Genomic DNA, 18,754 nt, shown 5'->3' on the forward strand with positions numbered 1-18,754 from the left:
TTGTATTTTTAGTAGAGACGGGGTTTCTCCATGTTGGTCAGGCTGGTCTCGAACTCCCGACCTCAGGTGATCCGCCCGCCTTGGCCTCCCAAAGTGCTGGGAGTACAGACGTGAGCCACCCGCACTTGGCCATCTTTTTTTTATATATTTTTTTAACTATTTGTGGTTATGTTTTTGGGAATTTCTGTGCTTAACATAGTAGGAAAAATAAGAAAAATCGGTAATAATTTACATTTCCTTTCCTCAGACCTGGAAGCAGGCATTTCTTCAAGGAATCTTGATTCCTTTTGATGGGAAAAGCTATTTACTCTTCAAGAATTGTCAGCCTGGCGTGGTGGCTCACGCCTGTAATCCCAGCACTTTGGGATGCCAAGGCAGGAGGATCACCTGATGTCAGGAGTTCAAGACCAGCCTGAACAACATGGTGAAACCCCGTCTCTACTAAGAATACAAAATTAGCCAAGCGTGGTGGTGGTGCATGCCTGTAATCCCAACTACTTGGGAGGCTGAGGCAGGAGAATTGCTTGACCCCAGGAGGCAGAGGTTGCAGTGAGCCAAGATGGGGCCATTGCACTCCAGCCTGAGCAACAAGAGTGAAACTCTGTCTCAAAAAAAAAAAAAAAAAGAATTGTCCTGCAGACTGGGGGCAGTGGCTCACACCAATCCCAGCACTTTGGAAGGCCAAGGAGGGAGGATCCTTTGAGCCCAGGAGTTCAAGACCAGCCTGGGCAACATAGTAACACCAAGTCTCTACCAATAAAATGAAATAAATAAATAAAAATTAGCCAGGCATGGTGGTGCATGCCTCTAGTCCCAGCTATTTGGGAGGCTGAGGTGGGAGGATCACTTTGCTACCCGGGAAGAGTGTCCAGGTTCTTGGCGTCTTGAGCAAAGAATTAGACAAAACGCACAAAGCAAGGAAGGAATGAAGGGATTTATTGAAAATGAAAGTACACTCCACAGGGTTTGAGCAGGCCCAAGCATAGCTCAAAGGCCCTGTTTCAGAATTTTTGGGAGTTTAAAAATAACCTCTACTTGAGGTATGCCCTATGTAAATGAAGAGGATAAAGTAAAGTTACAATCATTTACTTGGCCTACGCCCTATGGAGAGGCTATTTCCTGTCATAGCTGAAGTGTGAATCGGCCTTATATTCCCTACCTCCAGATCCTATTTTCCTGCCTCAACTTGAGCCCTGGAGGTAGAGGCTGCAGTGAGCTATGATCACACCACTGCACTCCAGCCTTGGTGACAGAGCAAGACTTGTCTCACAAATTAATAATTAAATAAAAAGTAAATAAAATATGACATTGATCAAAACTTCATTAGTAGTATTAGAAGACAAAGTTGAGATCATCTACAAAGTACAGATGTTTCCTGACTTATGATGGCGTTATGTTCCAATAAACCCATCAGAAGTTGAAAATATCATAAGTGGAAAATGCATTTAATACACTTAACCTGGCCGGGCGTGGTGGCTCATGCCTGTAACCCCAGCACTTTGAGAGGCCAAGGCGGGTGGATCACCTGAGGTCAGGAGTTCGAGACCAGCCTGGCCAACATGGTGAAACCCCTTCTCTACTAAAAATACAAAATTAGCCAGGTGTAGTGGCACATGCCTGTAGTCTCAGCTACTCGGGAGGCTGAGATAGAAGAATTGCTTGAACCTGGGAGGTGGAGGCCACAGTGAGCCAAGATGGTGACACTGCACTCCAGCTTGGGCAAGACAGAGCAAGACTCCATCTCGGAAAAAAAAAAAATACACTTAACCTACCAAACATCATAACTTAGCCTAGCCTACCTTAATGTAAGCTCATAATACTTTGTTTTTTTGAGACGGAGTCTTGCTCTATTGCCCGGGCTGGAGTGCAGTGAGACGATCTCGGCTCACTGCAACCTCTGCCTCCCAGGTTCAAGTGATTCGCGTGCCTCAGCCTCCCAAGTAGCTGGGATTACAGGCGCCAGCCACCACGCCCGGCTAATTTTTGTATTTTAGTAGAGATGGGGTTTCACCATGTTAGCCAGGTGTGTCTCGAACTCCTGACCTCAGGTGATCTGCCCACCTCGGCCTCCCAAAGTACTGGGATTACAGGCGTAAGCCACTACTCCTGGCCAAGCTCATAATACTTATATTAGCCTACAGTTGGTCAAAATCATCAAACACAAAGCTGTTTTATAATAAAGTGTTGAATATCTCATGTGCTTTATTGAATACTTGTACTGAAAGTGAAAAACAGAATGGTTGTATGGGTACTCAAAGTCAAATTCATACAACTTTGGCACCATCGCAACATCAAAAATTGTAACCCTGGAACTGTCTGTAGCAAAACAGGATATAGGAAAATAGAAGAGAAAAGATAAGAAACATGGAGCAGGGCACCGTGGCTCCCACTGAGGTGGGAGGATCACTTGAGTCCAGGAGTTTGAGACCAGCCTGGGCAACAGAGCAAGACCCTATCTCAATTTTAAAAAAAGAAAAAAGAAACATAAAAAAGAAATTATTAATAGGATACTATACAACTAGGTTGTGAATAATATCTACATGAAAATAATGTAAAAAAAATTAAGATATTAAATTAACAAAATGAAAACAACCATTTAGAGAGGATGATGTGATGATGGGAGGAAGTGAGCATCTGTGTGTGTGTGTGTGTGTGTGTGTGTGTGTGTGTGTGTGACTGTGAGTGAAAAAGCATAGACCCTCTTCCCTAGAAGCAAATCTATATATATCTTTCTGTGATTTCAGAATCAGCTTGATGGCAAGTGACAGAAAAATCCAGAATTACAGTGGTTTAAACTGGATGCTGATTTCTTTCTTTTTCTTTTTTCTTTCTTTTTTCTTTTTTTTTTTTTTTTTTGAGTCTCACTCTGTCGCCCAGGATAGAGTGCAGTGGCACAATCTCAGCTCACTGCAACCTCTGCCTCCTGGGTTCAAGGGATTCTACTGCCTCAGCCTCCCGAGTAGCTGAGATTACAGGCTTCCACCACTATGCCTGGCTAATTTTTTGTATTTTTAGTAGAGACGGGGTTTCACCAGGTTGGCCAGGATGGTTCCCCTTTCTTTTCTCTTCTCTTTTCTTCTCTTCTCTTCTCTTTTTTCTTTTTCTTGAGACGGATTCTTGCTCTGTCGGTGGTGCGATCTCAGTTCACTGCAACCTCCACCTCCCAGGTTCAAGCAATTCCCCTGCCTCAGCCTCCCAAGTAGCTGGGATTACAGGCACGCGCCCCTACATCCAGTTAATTTTTTTTTTTTTTAAGATGGAGTTTCACTCTTATTGCCCAGGTTGGAGTGCAATGGTGCGATCTCAGCTGACCGCAATCTCCGCCTCCCGGGTTCAAGCAATTCTCCTGCCTCAGCGGCCCAAGTAGCTGGGATTACAGGCATGCGCCACCACGACTGGCTAATTTTGTATTTTTTAGTAGAAACGGGGTTTCTCCATGTTGGTCAGCCTGGTCGTGAACTCCCAACCTCAAGTGATCTGCCCACCTTGGCCTCCCAAAGTGCTGGGATTACAGGCATGAACCACCGTGCCTGGCCTAATTTTTGTGTTTTCTTTTTAGTAGAGATGAGATTTCACCATGTTGGCCAGGCTGGTCTCGAACTACTGACCTCAGGTGATCCACCTGCCTTGGCCTCCCAAAGTGCTGGGATTACAGGCGTGAACCACCGAGCCCAGCCCTTTTCTTTTCTCTCTTTTTTTTTTTTTTTTTTTGAGACAAGGTCTTACTCTGTCGCCCAATTTGACGCTGTAGTGGGCTAGGATGAAAACCACTATACTCCAGCCAGGGTAACACAGAGAAAGAGATTCTGTTTCTTAAAACAAAATGAAACAAAAAAAAAAACTTGAAAAAATTGTTCGGCTGGGCGCAGTGGCTCACACCTGTGATCCCAGCACTTTGGGATCACAAAATACAAAAATTAGCTGGGCGTGGTGGCTTGCACCTGTAATCCCAGCTACTCAGGAGGCTGAGGCAGGAGAATCACTTGAACCCGGGAGGCGGAGGTTGCATTGAGCCGAGAGCGTGCCAACTGCACTCTAGCCTGGGTGACAGAGCAAGACTCCGCCTCAAAAAAAAAAATTGTTTTAATTGTTTTGAGACAGGGTCTCAGTTTGTCAAAACAAAAAATTGTTTTAATTGTTTTGAGACAGGGTCTCACTTTGCATTCTAGCCTAGGTGACAGAGCGAGACTCTGTCTCAAAAAAAAAAATTGTTTTGTTTTGAGACAGGGTCTCACTCTGTCACCCAGGCTGGAATGCACTGGCATGATCACAGCTCACTGCAGCCTCAACCTCCTAGGCTCAAACGATCCTCCTGCCTCAGCCTCCCAAGTAGCTGTGACTACAGGTGTGCACCACCACACTTGGCTAAGGCTAATTTTTTATTTTTTGTAGAGATGGGGTCTCCCTATGTTGCCCAGGCTGGTCTTGAACTCCTGGCCTCAAGCAATCCCCCTGCCTCGAACTCCCAAAGTGCTGGGATTACAGACATGTGCTACCACTCCTGGCCCCGAGATTTTCAATAAAGCCTAAACCTATTTGTAGTTTGTATTTTTCTTTTCCATTGTCTCTATACATGAACATTGTTTCCATGTCCTTGAAGTCTATAATTATAGGCGAGACTTGGGGAAGTATATCAAAACAAAATGAATGAATCCCAATACTCTGAAATATGCAATATACGTATTCGAATTTTTGAAACGCACATACTCTCTCCCAATAGTCCATACATGAGAAGAGTTTTTATTTTAAAAATCCTCTTTCTGCTAGAGCTGGCACCCTGGTGTGTGCCAATCTAATAGTACACTCCATAGCCTGCCATCAGTATGCCTGAGTGATCTGTGTATAAAGTATAATCATTTTCTAAATCTTTCAGTGTCTGCCAGAAATGTGGACATCTATAGCAAATGCAGAAACTGGCCAAATTCCTACAAGGACTAAAATCAGGGTTAGCTCAGAAAGATGGTATTGTGTAATCATATTAAACAATAAGCTTTTTGTTCTATGAAGAGGCAAACACTCTTTTTCACTACCTACAACCCCAATAGTATGCAACAAACATGAAATTCAACTCTTTTGATGAAACAATACTCTTGGCTGATTTAAAAGTTAGTAGGAGCTTTTCTTTCTGTGAAAGTACTCTGAGGTGGACAAGTCAGACTAGTGTGGCTAATTTAACTTCTGTTGACCCTTTAGACACAGCTCAGATGTCACCTTAAACCATCCTTAAACCTCCCCACCACCAGTAGAAAATAACCCTCAAGAGGTTACCCTGCAATACCTCCATTTTATAAATTACTTTATTGTTTGTTGTACATGTGAGTGTTCAGTGTTGGCCTGGGTACCCCTTATTCTAAATCAAGGTATGCCTGGTGACTAATACAGTGCTCCTGTTTAACTGATGAATGAAAACTTTCTATTGCCACCAAGTTTATCCTGGAATGACCTTGGTCCCTTGGCTGCTGGAGGGTCTACACAGTGTTGCAGAGGGACACTGCTGTCAGAAAACTCTCCAAGATGTCACAAGAAGGGATAGGATATCACCTTGGGGAATTGAAGGTTTGGTCCTCATCTGAACAGATTCAGAAAACAGATTTCTTAATGCAGTTACCTATTCAGGGGATCTTTTTCTCAATAAGTATGTGTGGAGAGCTTTCTCTGTGCCTGGGTTTTTTTGTTTTGTTTTTTTTTTGGTGGAGTCTTGCTCTGTCGCCCAGGCTGGAGTGCAGTGGTGCGATCTCGGCTCACTGCAACCTCCACCTTCAGGGTTCAAGCAATTCTCTTGCTTCAGCCTCCGTAGTAGCTGGGATTACAGGCGCCCACCACTATGCCTGGCTAATTTTTGTATTTTTGATAGAGGCGGGTGTCAACATGCTGGCCAGGCTGGTCTTGAACTCCTTACCTCAAGCGATCTGTCTGCCTCGGCCTCCCAAATTGCTGGGATTACAGGCGTGAACCACCGTGTGCAGACTGTGCCTGGCATTCTGCTGGGCACTGGGAATATAGGAGTCTTATGGGCACAGTCCTTGCCCTCACTTTGTTTACCATCTGGCTGGGGGAAAGAGTCAATTAGACAAACCACTGCCTTGAAGAGTGGGGACTGGCCTGGTATGGGAAGTACAGTATGCTAGGGGTACATAACACAGGCAACTAAGATATCCTGGGACCAGTGGGGCTTCCTGGAGGGATCACCCAGAGTACACTCTCTGTCAGGGAATAGGTACACATTAACCAGAGCTGCTATATAAAGTCGAATATGCCTGTAATCACAGCACTTTGGGAGGCCGAGGTGGGTGGATTGCTTGAGCTCAGGAGTTTGAGACCAGCCTAGGCAACATGGTGAAACCCCATCTCTACCAAAAATACAAAAAATTAGCCAGGCATGGTGGTGCACTCCTGTAGTCCCAGCTACTTGGGAAGCTGAGATGAGAGGATCGCTTGAGCCTGGGAGGTGGAGGTTGCAGTGAGCCAAGGTCGTGTCACTGTACTCCAGCCTGGTCAACAGAGTGAGACCCCGTCTCAAAAATAATAATGGCCAGGTGTGGTGGCTCATGCCTGTAAATCAGCACTTTGGGAGGCTGAGGTGGATGGATTACCTAATGTTATGAATTCGAGACCAGCCTGCCCAACATGGTGAAACCCCATCTCTACTAAAAATACAAAAATTGGCTAGGTGTGGTGGTGGGTGCCTGTAATTCCAGCTACTTGGGAGGCTGAGACAGGAGAATCGCTTGAACCCGGGAGACGGAGATTGGAGCGAGCCGAGATTGTGCCATTGCACTGTAGCCTGGGCAACGAGAGTGAAACTCTGTCTCAAAAAATAAATAAATAAGTAAATAAAATAATAATAAAGTCAAAATGTCCCTTTGTTAACAATGAGCAAATGTAAGTGTCTCATGGAGTTAAAAGGTACACATCTACATTCTCTCCCTGTGGTCAGACCACAGACCTGCTTCCAATTGTAGGAAGCACAATTACAATGGGAAGGTGGTTAGGTAAGAAATCAAATCAATTCCCATTGATCAAAGGTGTTAGGATAACTGGAGCCTCCATCCCCACGTAAAGGATAGCCTTACAAATAGGATGATCATTTTTGAAGTCCTCTTTTTGACCAAGATTCTTTGTCTTCCAAAAATTGCTTAGATGGGCTTTGGCAGCCTGGCCTTCCTTACTCTCTCCCTAAGTTTCTAGGTTTCCTCTCTTCTCATAGCCACATTGCTTCTTTTTTTTTTTTTTTCCCGAGACGGAGTTTTGCTCTGTCACCCAGGGTGGAGTGCAGTGGCCCGATCTCGGCTCACTGCAGCCTCCGCCTCCGGGGTTCAAGCAATTCTTTTGCCTCAGCGTCCCAAGTAGCTGGGATTAGTAGCCACCACGCCCAGCTAATTTTGTATTTTTAGTAGAGACAGAGTTTCTCCATGTTGGTCGGGCTGGTCTCGAACTCCCGACCTCAGGTGATCCACCCGCCTCGGCCTCCCAAAGTGCTAGGATTACAGGCATGAGCTACCGTGCCCAGCCCCACATTGCTTCTTTAGCTATGTTAATATCTGTGATCATATTATAGGGTATGATGAGGCCTGTAATTTACTGTCAGCAAAGATAGAGAAGGAAGAGGTGGAGGAGGAGTGTGTTGTGTTTAGAGCTGGAAATGACCCCACTTAGGACTTTATACACCAGGGGTGGTCAGGAGTCCATATTTCCTATTCTAGCCACTACAGATGCTTCTGTTAGCCATAGCTCAACCAATAACAGAGGCTTTCTTAAGTAGCAAAATGAAGGTTAGAAATGGGTTTTCTTGCCAGGCGCAGTGGCTCATGCCTGTAATCCCAGCACTTTGGAAGTTGAGGCGGGCGGATCACCTGAGGTCAGGAGTTCGAGACCAGCCTGACCAAGGTGGAGAAACCTCGTCTTTACTAAAAATACAAAATTAGCTGGGCGTGGTGGCACATGCCTGTGATTCCAGCTACTTGGGAGGCTGAGGCAAGAGAATGGCTTGAACCCAGAAGGCTGAGATTGCAGTGAGCCGAGATCGCGCCATTGCACTCCAGCCTGGGCAACAAGAGCGAAACTCTGTCTAAAAAAAAGAAGAAAGAAACGAGTTTTCTTTTTTCTTTTTTTAGACAGGGTCTCGCTCTTGTTGCCCAGGCTGGAGTGCAGTGGCACAATCTTGGCTCCCTGCAACCTCCACCTCCCAGGCTCAGGTGATCCTCCTGCCTCAGCCTCCCAAATAACTGGGACTACAGGTGTGCACCACCACACCCAGCTAATTTTTTGGTATTTTTTGCAGAGATGGGGTTTTGCCATATTGCCCAGGTTGGTCTTGAACTCCTGGAGTCAAGCGATACACCCACCTTAGTCTTCCAAAGTGGTGGGGTTACAGGTGTGAGCCACCGTGCCTGGCCAGAAATGGGTTTTCGTAGGTGAAATTAGTAGCTTATTAGCTTTAGCTAGTATAACAGGCATTAGAGGCTGGGCATGGTGGCTCACACCTGTAATCCCAACACTTTACAAGGCCAAAGCGGGAGGATCTCTTGAGCCTACGAGTTTGAGACCAGCCTGGGCAACATAGGGAGACACCCTCCTACCATTTCTACAAATATATATATATATATATATATATATATATATATATATATATTTAATTAGCCAGGTGTAGTGGTACACACCTGTGGTCCCAGCTACTTGGGAGGCTGAGGCAGGAGGAACACCTGAGCCCAGCAGGTGGCGGCTGCAGTGAGCCGTGATGGCACCACTGAAATCCAGCCTGGGTGACAGAGTGAGACCCTGTCACCAAAAATAAATAATAAAAATAAAAATAACAGCATTAGAATGGGCTCACATTAGTGAAATCAGGGATATTCAAGATATATGCATTGTTTAAAATATGTGAGACTCTACTCACTTTTGCGTTAAAAGAGTATAAGAATCTTTCTTAAAAAAAAAATCTTTGTCATACAGACAATTAATAAGAAAAAAAAAAAGAATCTAGCAAGTCCGAAGCTTGTTTCCTTCAGGATAATACTCTAGGCTAAACCTCTAAACCGTCCTGTGTCCAGCTATAAACTCTGAGGGTTGCAGTTTCCTGATATCGGCTATAAGGCCAACAGAATCCTGCCTCTGTAATAGTGGTGAGTCCACCTTGAGAGCTCTACATTTCATCACAACGGTGGTCAGAGCATCTCAAAGGTCAAAGAGTTGGGACCTCATTGAGCTTACTGTTCACATGAATTGTTTGATGCCTGCTTGCTCAAGACTTTAATAAACATCTGAATAAATGGAGCCATATTCAGGTTATATTCACATTCCTTAGGGAGCCTGGAGAGAACACCCCGTACCCAATGAGGAGCTATTGTTCTGGTGGCCTTTACCCTTCTAGCAGGCACAGTGTTTGTTTTTTTTTTTTTTTTGAGATAGAGTTTCCCTCTGTCACCCAGGCTGGAGTGCAGTGGCATGAACTCGGCTCACTGCAACCTCTGCCTCCTGGGTTCAAACGATTTTCCTGCCTCAGCCTCCCCGAGTAGCTGGGACTACAGGCACACGCCACCATGCCCAGCTGATTTTTTTTTTTTTTTTTTGTATTTTTAGAAGAGACGAGGTTTCACCATGTTGGTCAGGCTGGTTTCAAACCCCTGACCTCAGGTGATCCGCCCTCCTCTGCCTCCCAAAGTACTGGGATTACAGGCGTGAGCCACAGCGCCCGGCTTTTTTATTTGATAACTTTATTTATTTAGAGACGAGGTCTCGCTTTGTCGCCTACGCTGGTTTCAAACTCCGGGGCTCAGGCGATGCTCTTGCCTCAGCCTCCTAAACTGCTGAGATTACAGGTGTGAGCCACGCCTGCAGGCACAGTTAAAAGACAATAGTCCTGGCGCAAAGGTGAGATCAATGTAAACAGAACATTGGATGACCCTTAAAGTCTTGGACATAAAGAAAGGATAGGCCAGGCATTGCGGCTCAAGCCCGTAATCCCAGCACTTTGGGAGGACGAGTTGGGCAGAGGACGAGTCGGGCAGAGCACTTGTGGCCAGGAGTTTGAGAGCAGCCTGGCCAACATGGCGAAACCCCATCTCTACTAAAAATGCAAAAATTAGCCGGGTGTGGTGGTGCACGCCAGTAATCCCAGCTACTAGGGAGGCTGAGACACGAGAATTCCTTGAACCTGGGAGGTGCAGATTGCAGTGGGCTGAGATCATGCCACTGCACTCCAGCCTGGGCGACAGAGCAAGACTCTGCATTAAAAAAAAAAAAAAAAAGAGGCCAGGCACGGTGGCTCAGGCCTGTAATCCCAGCACTTTGGGAGGCCGAGGTGGACGGATCACAAGGTCAAGAGATGAAGACCATTCTGGCGAACGTGGTGAAACCCCCTCTCTACTAAAAATAGAAAAATTAGCTGGGCGTGGTGGGGCGCGCCTGTAATCCCAGCTACTTGGGAGGCTGAGGCAGGAGAATCACTTGAACCCGGGAGGCAGAGGTTGCAGTGAGCCGAGATTGGCCACTGCACTCCAGCTTGGGCAACAAGAGCAAAACTCTGTCTCAAAAAAAAAAAAAAAAAAAAAGATATGCATTTAATTCAATTAAATATTTTTCATTTCTCTGAAGGCTTGGGGTTAATGGCATAGTTCTTTTCTTTTCTTTTTATTTTTTGAGACGGAGTCTCGCTCTTGTTGCCCAGGCTAGAGTGCAATGGCGTGATCCCGGCTTACTGCAACCTCCGCCTCCCGGGTTCAAGCGATTCTCCTGCCTCAGCCTCCCTAGTAGCTGGGATTGCAGGCACGTGTCACCACGCCTGGCTAATTCTATTTTTAGCACAGACCGGGTTTCACCACGTTGGTCAGGCTGGTCTTGAACTTCTGACCTCAGGTGATCCGCCCGCCTCGGCCTCCCAAAGTGCCGGGGTTACAGGCGTGAGCCACCGTGGCCGGCCTCTTTCCTTAATAAAGATAACTTTATTGATTTTTTTCATTCCATACATACTTAAACAATATAGAAAATCATGAAATTTGAAACCAGCCTGGGCAACATAATGCCCCATCTCTAAAAAAAAATTTTTTTTTGAGGAATAACTTACTTTTGTGTGTGTGTGTGTGATGGAGTTTCTCCTCACCCAGGCTGGAGTGTTCAATGGCACGATCTTGGCTCACTGCAACCTCTGCTGCCCGGGTTCAAGCGATTCTCCTGTCTCAGATCCCAAATAGCTGGAATTACAGAAGCCCACCACCGGCTGGGGGCGGTTGCTCACACCTGTAATCCCAGCACTTTGGGAGGCCGAGGAGGGCAGATCAGGGGGTCAGAAGTTCAAGACCAGCCTGGCCAACATGGTGAAACCCCTCTCTCTACTAAAAATACAAAAATTAGCCCAGCGTGGTGGCACGTGCCTGCAATCCCAGCTACTCGGGAGGCTGAGGCAGGAGAATTGCTTGAACCTGGGAGGCGGAGGTTGCAGTGAGCTGAGATCGTGCCACTGCACTCCAGCTTTGGGTGACAGCAAGACTCCGTCTTGGGAAAACAAAAACAAAGAAAAAAGAAAAGCCCACCACCACCACCATGCCCGGCTAATTTTTGTATTTTTAGTAGAGACGGAGTTTCACTGTGTTGGCCAGGCTGGTCTGGAACTCCTGACCTTGTGATCCACCCGCCTCGGTCCCCCAAGGTGTTGGCATTACAGGCGTGAGCCACCGCGCCCGGCCTCATAATGAATTATTTAAGACAATATATCAGGATTTCATGATGGTCTGTGCCTTTCAGAAGCTCGGCCATTGGAGATCTGGTTCCATCAGATGGAAATAGGGAATATTCCTGAGGAAATCTCCCCTCTCCCCCCCAACATCATATCAATAAAAAAAAAAATTCGGTTCAGCAAACCGAGTTTGTTGAAAAAATTTAGGTAATGAAACGAGTAAATGGGGTGGGAGAAAGCAGGATACATTCAACATGAATGAAGTGCCAAGTAAGTGTGCAGAAGCCGGGGCGGTTCAACCAAGGTGAATAGAATGCGGCACCTATCCCGCGGGAGCTCGGGACAAGTAAACCGTGGTAACAACTCTGGTGGAGGGGCAGGGCTCGGGGCAGGTGCCCGAGCACGAAACTTCAAATTCTAAGAGCCAATACACCTTCCGTCTTGAAAGTCGTGAAGTATTTTCCCTTATCCCCAAATCATTCGCGCCCAATTCCTAAGAACGGCAACAAAAACAAAAACACAAGAATGTGTCGCCGATCGTGCTCCTTCTCAAACACGGGGATATTTCTAAACTTTCCGCGAAAGATCATAACGAGTACCTTCCTATAGCCAGACATCGCCCCCAGAAACCGCAAGTCCCACTAGGATGCACACGAAGCACACTGGGTGCAGCACTCTCCCCTTTTCAGAACGCCGCCTTATGTCCCAATCCCGATCCGAGCCTGCGAGCTGTGGCCGCACGCCCTGCTGGGACTTGTAGTCCACTCCCGAGTCCCATTCCCGATCCGCGCAGACTCACACGGCCTCTATCTGCCCTTCGGTCTTGCTGAAGCCCAGCCCAGTATTCAATGCTCCCCATCCCCATCTCGCTCCGTCCCCTCGGGGGCCAACCTCCTCCGGTCACGTGGGAAGTCTCACATGCGGCGATTGGTCGTGGGGGCTCGGGGGCGGGGCGAAAGGCCCTGCGAGATTCTGTGCCCCTTGTCGGGCCGCTTGTTTGGCTGCTGCCGTCACCTCATGGCGACGCGGGTAGAGGAGGCAGCGCGGGGAAGAGGCGGCGGCGCCGAAGAGGCGACTGAGGCCGGACGGGGCGGACGGCGACGCAGCCCGCGGCAGAAGGTCAGTCAGGGGGACGCCCTCGTTGTTGTCGGGCCCGGGGGATGTTTGGGCTCCCTTTTTCAGGGTCCACCTCTTCTCTCTCCCTGGTTACCTATAGCCACGGGACGAACATCCGGTCTTCTTCCCTCCCGGGGGTGACGACAGTGGGAGCAGGTGGGGGGGGGTGGGACCGCGATGGATGGGGTGGGAAGGGACGACGGTTGGGGTTTGGCGGCGCGCGGCGGGGAAGCCGGGAGGGAGGGCAGGGGGCGCACGCGGTTCTAAGGGAGAAGGGGTGCGAGGCGGGGGTGCGCCAGGTGTGACAGCCACGTGCGGCCAGCACCGCGGGGATCCGGGCGCCAGGCGTTCCTTCTCCCAGTCACCGCCGTCACCGTGCTCCCGGCGCTGAGCGCCGCCGTCCGGGGGCTCGCTGGGGTCGTGGGCTCGCCCTCCTGGCGTCGGGCAGGTGCGCAGGGCGCGCTGCGGGGTGCCCCCGGGCTGCTCAGGCTAGGCTGTTGCGCAGTAAGATAACCGCGCGGGAGCCGGGGTGTGCTTGGCCCCCCTTCCCCCGCCCCCCTGCGCTCCCCGCCACTGCGCGGGCGGGCAGGCGAGCGGGTGAGTGTCGCAGGGCCGGTGCGAGCGGGACGCTCGGCCCCCGGGACCTAGACCCCGGGGCTCCGAGGGCTTGGCTGCACGTGGGGCCGGGGATGGATGGGGAGGCGATGCTGGAGGACCTCGGTCCTGCAGAGTTGGGATATCGCATGATAGCTGGTCCTCCCAGTCCTATTTACCACCCTCCTCTTTTTTCCCCTCTTTTTTTTCTTTCATTTATTATTTTTTTAATTTGATGAGTGGAAACTTGAATGCCTTCCCGACCCTGGCCTTGGGTCTTTCTTAATCTGGGAAACAGGCCGGACTGTTCCCCTTGCCTTACTTGACTCACGTCAAGGAGTTTTCAGTCCCTCCCTAGATACAGGAAAATTGAGACCTCTTTCAGAACGGGACAATTCCACTTGTTCTGGAGCTCAGTGGGTGGAGTTTGAAAAAGATTGCACAACGAACGGGGTACAGGGTTTTCGGGGCCCTGGAATGGATAATTGCGGGGACTGAGACTGGGAAGGTGGGAACCCCATCTCTTTTTTTCCTTGCAGGTGAACATACTGAAACGTTCGACTTGTTGGATATCTTGCTTGATCACCGAGGGCTATTTAATATTACTTAATTATGTATTTGAACACTCTTAACTCCTGTATGAAATTACGAAATAATATTTTTCTAATGCAATTCATAAACTTCAAATGGGAGAACAAAGGTCCAGTTTACGTCTGAGCAGAGTGTTAAGAATTAGCTTTTTGGGGCCTGTTTCTAAGGTCAGGTATTTTCATGTTTCTGCATGACAGTGTTACTACTTCTCAATTACCTCTCTTTCTTTCTCTCCCTCTCTTTGTATTCTAAAAGAAAGATCCAGTGCTTGCAGGACTGAAAAAGAAGCTGTGGACCAATGTCCTGTAAGGGATTCAACACCATCACTTTGGACACTTCACTTATTCCCTAAGGGTGGAGTGCCAATCTCAGTGTTTGATTTCGTAGGTTCCCCAGGGGAGGAGGACTCTGATAAAAAGCCACTGCAATTGAGGATATAAGTTCCCTTTTATGACACTGGGATAAGGACAAAAAGTCGTTGAATTAGGAACTGAGGTTTAATCAACTAGCATTTAAAATAACCAAGATAGGAGGTAATGACCCTTTGAGGTGCAGAGCTCTGGTTAACAGCTGGATAGGAATAGTCATGTGTGTGTCTACTCATTTTTGTTTATGTACCTCATACTCCATTCTTCTTTGCTTATGCTCTTCTGAGCATCTTTTTCTTTTTGATTTCTAACTGACAGTGACGGCATTCAAATACATGGTAAAATATTAATCTTTGAATTTTCATTTAACAAATTGGGTGAATTATCTTGTGTTTGCAAGAATCATTTTTAAGCCAGCTATGGTGGCATGCACCTGTAGTACCACCTAGTCAGGAGACTGAAGCAGGAGGCTAGCCTGGGCCGCAGAGTGAGACCCTGTCTCTTAAAAAAACAAACAAACTTGTTGTGTTTTTTTTTTTTTTTTTTGAGTCAGAGTCTTGCTCTGTTACCCAGGCTGCAGTGCAGTGATGCAATCTTGGCTCACTGCATCTTCCACCTCGTGGGTTCCAGCGATTCTCGTGCCTCAGCCTCCTGAGTAGCTGGGATTACAGATGTGTGCTACCACGCCCAGCTAATTTTTATATTTTTAGTAGAAACAGGGTTTCACCATGTTGGCCAGGCTGGTCTTGAACTCCTGGCCTCAGGTAAGCCACCCACCTTGGCCTTCCAAAGTGGCGGGATTACAGGCATGAGCCACTGCAACTGGCCAAAAATTTTTTTAAAAATCATTTTTACATTACTTCATTGTGTCCCTTAATTTTAAAATTTCTTTTGGGTCACTGACTTGAAAAAATATTTCTTAATTCCAGCTTAACTTCTATCCTTTTTTTCAGGAAGCAGAAATGTTTAATGAATTGAGTTTTTTGAAAATATTGAAAGAATTAAAAGAAAAGTGAGTGTTTTGTCATTATCTAGTTACATTATGGGACCTGAAGTGAGGAACAATTGGAGATGGGCTTTTTTGGTTCCTGGTTGCTTTAACCATCTGCCTAGTCACTCGCGACCTGCTCAGTTAATTGTGGCATTGTTTCATAACTACAACCATTTGAATGGTCTCTTGAGGTAACCTTTTGCTTCTAAAGGTAATGTTACAGTACATTACTAGGGGTCTCTTCAGGAATTTTCTAAAACTGTGCTGATAGTAGCCACTAGTGACATGTAGCTAAATTTGTTAACTAAAATTAAAATTAAAAATTTTTTTCTTCAGTTATACTAACCAAGTTTCAGGTATTCAGTAGCCAGTGTGGCTAGTGGCTACTGTATTAGAGCAGATCTAGAATATTTTCATCATTGCATAAAAATTTTATCAGCATTGGTCTAAAAAGATGAGTACACAATATCTAGTATGTCAGGCATTTTTTAGAACATCAGGCTCATTCGTTTTACTTCCTAAATCCCTATGTAGAATTTGCTTTATAAGGTTGATTTAAAAAAAAATTAATAGACTTTTTTTGGGAATGGTTTTTAGTTTTACAGAAAAATTGAGTAGAAAGTACAGTTTCCATATACCCCCTCACACACACCCTTTCCCCCTATTATTATTATTATTTTTGAGATGGGGTTTCGCTCTTGTTGCCCAGGCTAGAGTGCAATGGCATGATCTTGGCTCACCACAACCTCCGCCTCCCGGGTTCAAGCAATTCTCCTGCCTCAGCCTCCCAAGTAGCTGGGATTACAGGCATGTGCCACCACGCCCGGCTAATTTTTTTTGTATTTTTAGTAGAGACGGGGTTTCTCCATGTTGGTCAGGCTAGTCTCAAACTCCTGACCTCAGGTGATCTGCCCGCCTCGGCCTCCCAAAGTGCTGAGGTTACAGGTGTGAGCCACTGCGCCCGACCCTTATCCCCTATTATTTACATCTTGCATTAGTGTGATACTTGTGTTAAAATTCATGAGCCAATATTGCTATATTATTATTGACTAAGTCCATAGTTTACGTTAGGGTTCACTCTGGTGCTATATATTCTATGCATTTTGACAAATGTGTAGTGACATGGATCCACGATTATAGTATCACACAGAAGAGTTTCACAGTCCTATAAATCCCTTGTGCTCTACCTATTCATCCCTCTCTCCCTTCCCCTAGACTACTGACAGCCACTGATTTTATTTTTTTTAAATTTTAGAGTTGGGGGTCCTGCTATGTTGCCCAGGCTGGTCTTGAACTCCTAGGCTCAGGCGATCGTTCTGCCTTGGCCTCCCAAAGTGCTGGAATTATAAGTATGAGCCACCACACCTGGCCTGATCTTTTTACTGTCTCCATAGTTTTGCCTTTTCCAGCTTGTCTAAGGTTGGTATTTTTTTTCTTTACTAGATTTTTGCTTGGGAATGTTAAAAATTATTTAACTACTATTAAACTAATTTTTAGGTCCATAAACCATGTGGAAGGATAATACAAGGTACCTAGGCCCAAATTAACAAAATCTTGCATTTACATAATGCCCTGTAGTTTTTATGGCACATTTGCACATACATTAACTCTTTCAGCACCAGTCAGATGCTGTGGAGAAGGCTGGGCAGCTTTCACTGCCCTCATTTGCTGATGACAAGCTGCTCAACGATGTTAACTCACTTGCCTAAGGGGTGAAGCTGAGTCTGGAACCCAATACTCTTTCATCTATACTACAGTAATGAGTAGTGTAGTACTGGGTAAATCTATGGATTTTGGAGTTGGGACTCCTGGCTTTCTGCCGCCCATAGCTCTGCAACCTTGGGCAAGTTTCTCAATCTTTCTAAGCTTCAGTTGCATCATCTGTAAAGAGGGGATAATGCTCATACCTACCACAGGGGATTACTGTGAAGAAGGAGTTGATGGGACACATTTGGCACAGTGTGGGATATGTAGAATTTTACATGGTTTGGAGGGGAGGACATATGGAAGAGATTAATTTCTCTTGCATTTAGGGTGCTAATTTTGTAAATCCATCTTCCAACCTTTATATTCTCTCCTCTTCCCAGAATCTCTCCGTGATAGACATAATGAGGAGAAATCAGGTCAGGGTTGGGCAAGAGTATGGGGGCAGGAAAAAGCCATTTCATTAATCTTGTTTTTCTCCCCATTTGCCAACTTGATGAACTTCCACTCTTCTGGTACAGAGATTAAGTAATGAGAAGTAAAGTAAAGTGATCTTCTGCTTACACCATTGTTTTCTAATTGTATCACCAAGCTTTGGTAAATTTATTTTTTTCTTTTACTGGGATCAAATAGGACAAGCAGTAATGAGAACAAACCAGATACAGCATATTCTGCTATTCATGCCACATTTTCATATCATATTATGTCATATTTATTATGTTATTGGAACGTGTTTTATTTATTTATTTTTAATTTATTTTGTTTTTTTGAGATGGAGTCTTGTTCTGTAGCCCAGGCAGGAGTGCAATGGCGCAATCTCAGCTCACTGCAACCTCCACTTTCCGGGTTCAAGTGATTCTCCTGCATCAGCCTCCCGAGTAGCTGAGATTACAGGCATGCGCCACCAGGCCTGGCTAATTTTTGTATTTTTAGTAGAGATGGGGTTTCACCATGTTGGCCAGGCTGGTCTTGAACTCCTGACCTCAAGTGATCCACCTGCCTTGGCCTCCCAAAGTGCTGGAATTACAGGCATGAGCCACCGCGCCCTGCCTGGAAGGTGTTTTATGTTATTTTGTGTGTTATTTATATTGGTCTTGCCTAGAGAAGTTTTGTTTAGGAAGGTATATATCAAATCCAAATGACATAAAACTGCTTTTGTGGGATTCTTCACAAGATTCACTATAATGGGCTTCTATTAAATAGATATGCTGTCACAGTTTTACACTTCTCAGAGTTATGTTTCAAAGGAAAGAAATTTGGAGACCTCAAATTTCATTTGTGTTTCATGCACTGTGTTAGTCACTTAAGGTGTGAATGCATTCTAATATCTCCTTAACTCTGCAAGGTAGGTGGTATCCCCAGGTATATAGATAAGGCATCTGAGTCTTAGTCAGAAACAAACTTGCTTGAATAATAGAGCCCACAGTTGGTGACGTTTGCTAGGGTTAGTGTATAGTTGTGTAATTGATAGTATGACAGATGTCTTCTAATGCCCAGGAAGTTTCTGCTTACCTCGTTAAGTTTTAACTTAATACCTCAAGAAATCTGTTTGCCTGTTCCTCCTCTTCCTGCTGCCCTCCCCCTAATTCCTCTTGTTTGGTTCTAATGTGATTATGAATAACTTTTAGTTAATATAACGGGTGTGTCAGTATTTATAAAGTATGGGCCAGGCATGGTGGCTCATGCTTGTAATCCCAGTGCTTTGGGAGGCCGAGACGG

The 18,754-nt window shown here is 46.1% G+C and overlaps 1 protein-coding gene and 1 long non-coding RNA gene across 4 annotated transcripts in view, besides 4 other annotated features; one reads left to right on the forward strand and one right to left on the reverse strand.

Moving 5' to 3' along the window:
* LOC124905250 (uncharacterized) lies at positions 11,861-12,467 on the reverse strand. Its single transcript, XR_007068398.1, has 2 exons — positions 12,271-12,467; positions 11,861-12,164 (listed from the first exon to the last, which is right to left on the reverse strand). It is a non-coding gene; the product is annotated as an uncharacterized LOC124905250 (long non-coding RNA).
* Positions 12,063-12,262: an enhancer, noted in NCBI's record as "active region_29455". NCBI's record gives its function as "activates an Ori minimal core promoter by ATAC-STARR-seq in GM12878 lymphoblastoid cells {active_cell/tissue: GM12878}" and the evidence as "EXISTENCE:reporter gene assay evidence [ECO:0000049][PMID:35858748]".
* Positions 12,234-12,966: an enhancer, noted in NCBI's record as "H3K27ac hESC enhancer chrX:16804156-16804888 (GRCh37/hg19 assembly coordinates)". NCBI's record gives its function as "activates a minimal SCP1, AML or CMV promoter by ChIP-STARR-seq in naive H9 embryonic stem cells {active_cell/tissue: H9 hESC(naive)}" and the evidence as "EXISTENCE:reporter gene assay evidence [ECO:0000049][PMID:30033119]".
* TXLNG (taxilin gamma) overlaps positions 12,667-18,754 on the forward strand; it is a 58,054-nt gene continuing 51,966 nt past the window's right edge. For all 3 annotated transcript variants that reach the window (NM_018360.3, NM_001168683.2, XM_047442249.1), the window contains exon 1: positions 12,667-12,790. In NM_018360.3, coding sequence (NP_060830.2) covers positions 12,689-12,790 — 102 coding nt within the window. In that variant the 5' untranslated portion in view covers positions 12,667-12,688. The remainder of the gene's footprint in view (positions 12,791-18,754) is intronic.
* Positions 13,013-13,452: a silencer, noted in NCBI's record as "silent region_20680". NCBI's record gives its function as "represses an Ori minimal core promoter by ATAC-STARR-seq in GM12878 lymphoblastoid cells {active_cell/tissue: GM12878}" and the evidence as "EXISTENCE:reporter gene assay evidence [ECO:0000049][PMID:35858748]".
* Positions 15,009-15,509: an enhancer, noted in NCBI's record as "H3K27ac hESC enhancer chrX:16806931-16807431 (GRCh37/hg19 assembly coordinates)". NCBI's record gives its function as "activates a minimal SCP1, AML or CMV promoter by ChIP-STARR-seq in primed H9 embryonic stem cells {active_cell/tissue: H9 hESC(primed)}" and the evidence as "EXISTENCE:reporter gene assay evidence [ECO:0000049][PMID:30033119]".

This window comes from Homo sapiens, chromosome X (genome assembly GCF_000001405.40).
Source record: "Homo sapiens chromosome X, GRCh38.p14 Primary Assembly".
Lineage (NCBI taxonomy): Eukaryota > Metazoa > Chordata > Mammalia > Primates > Hominidae > Homo > Homo sapiens.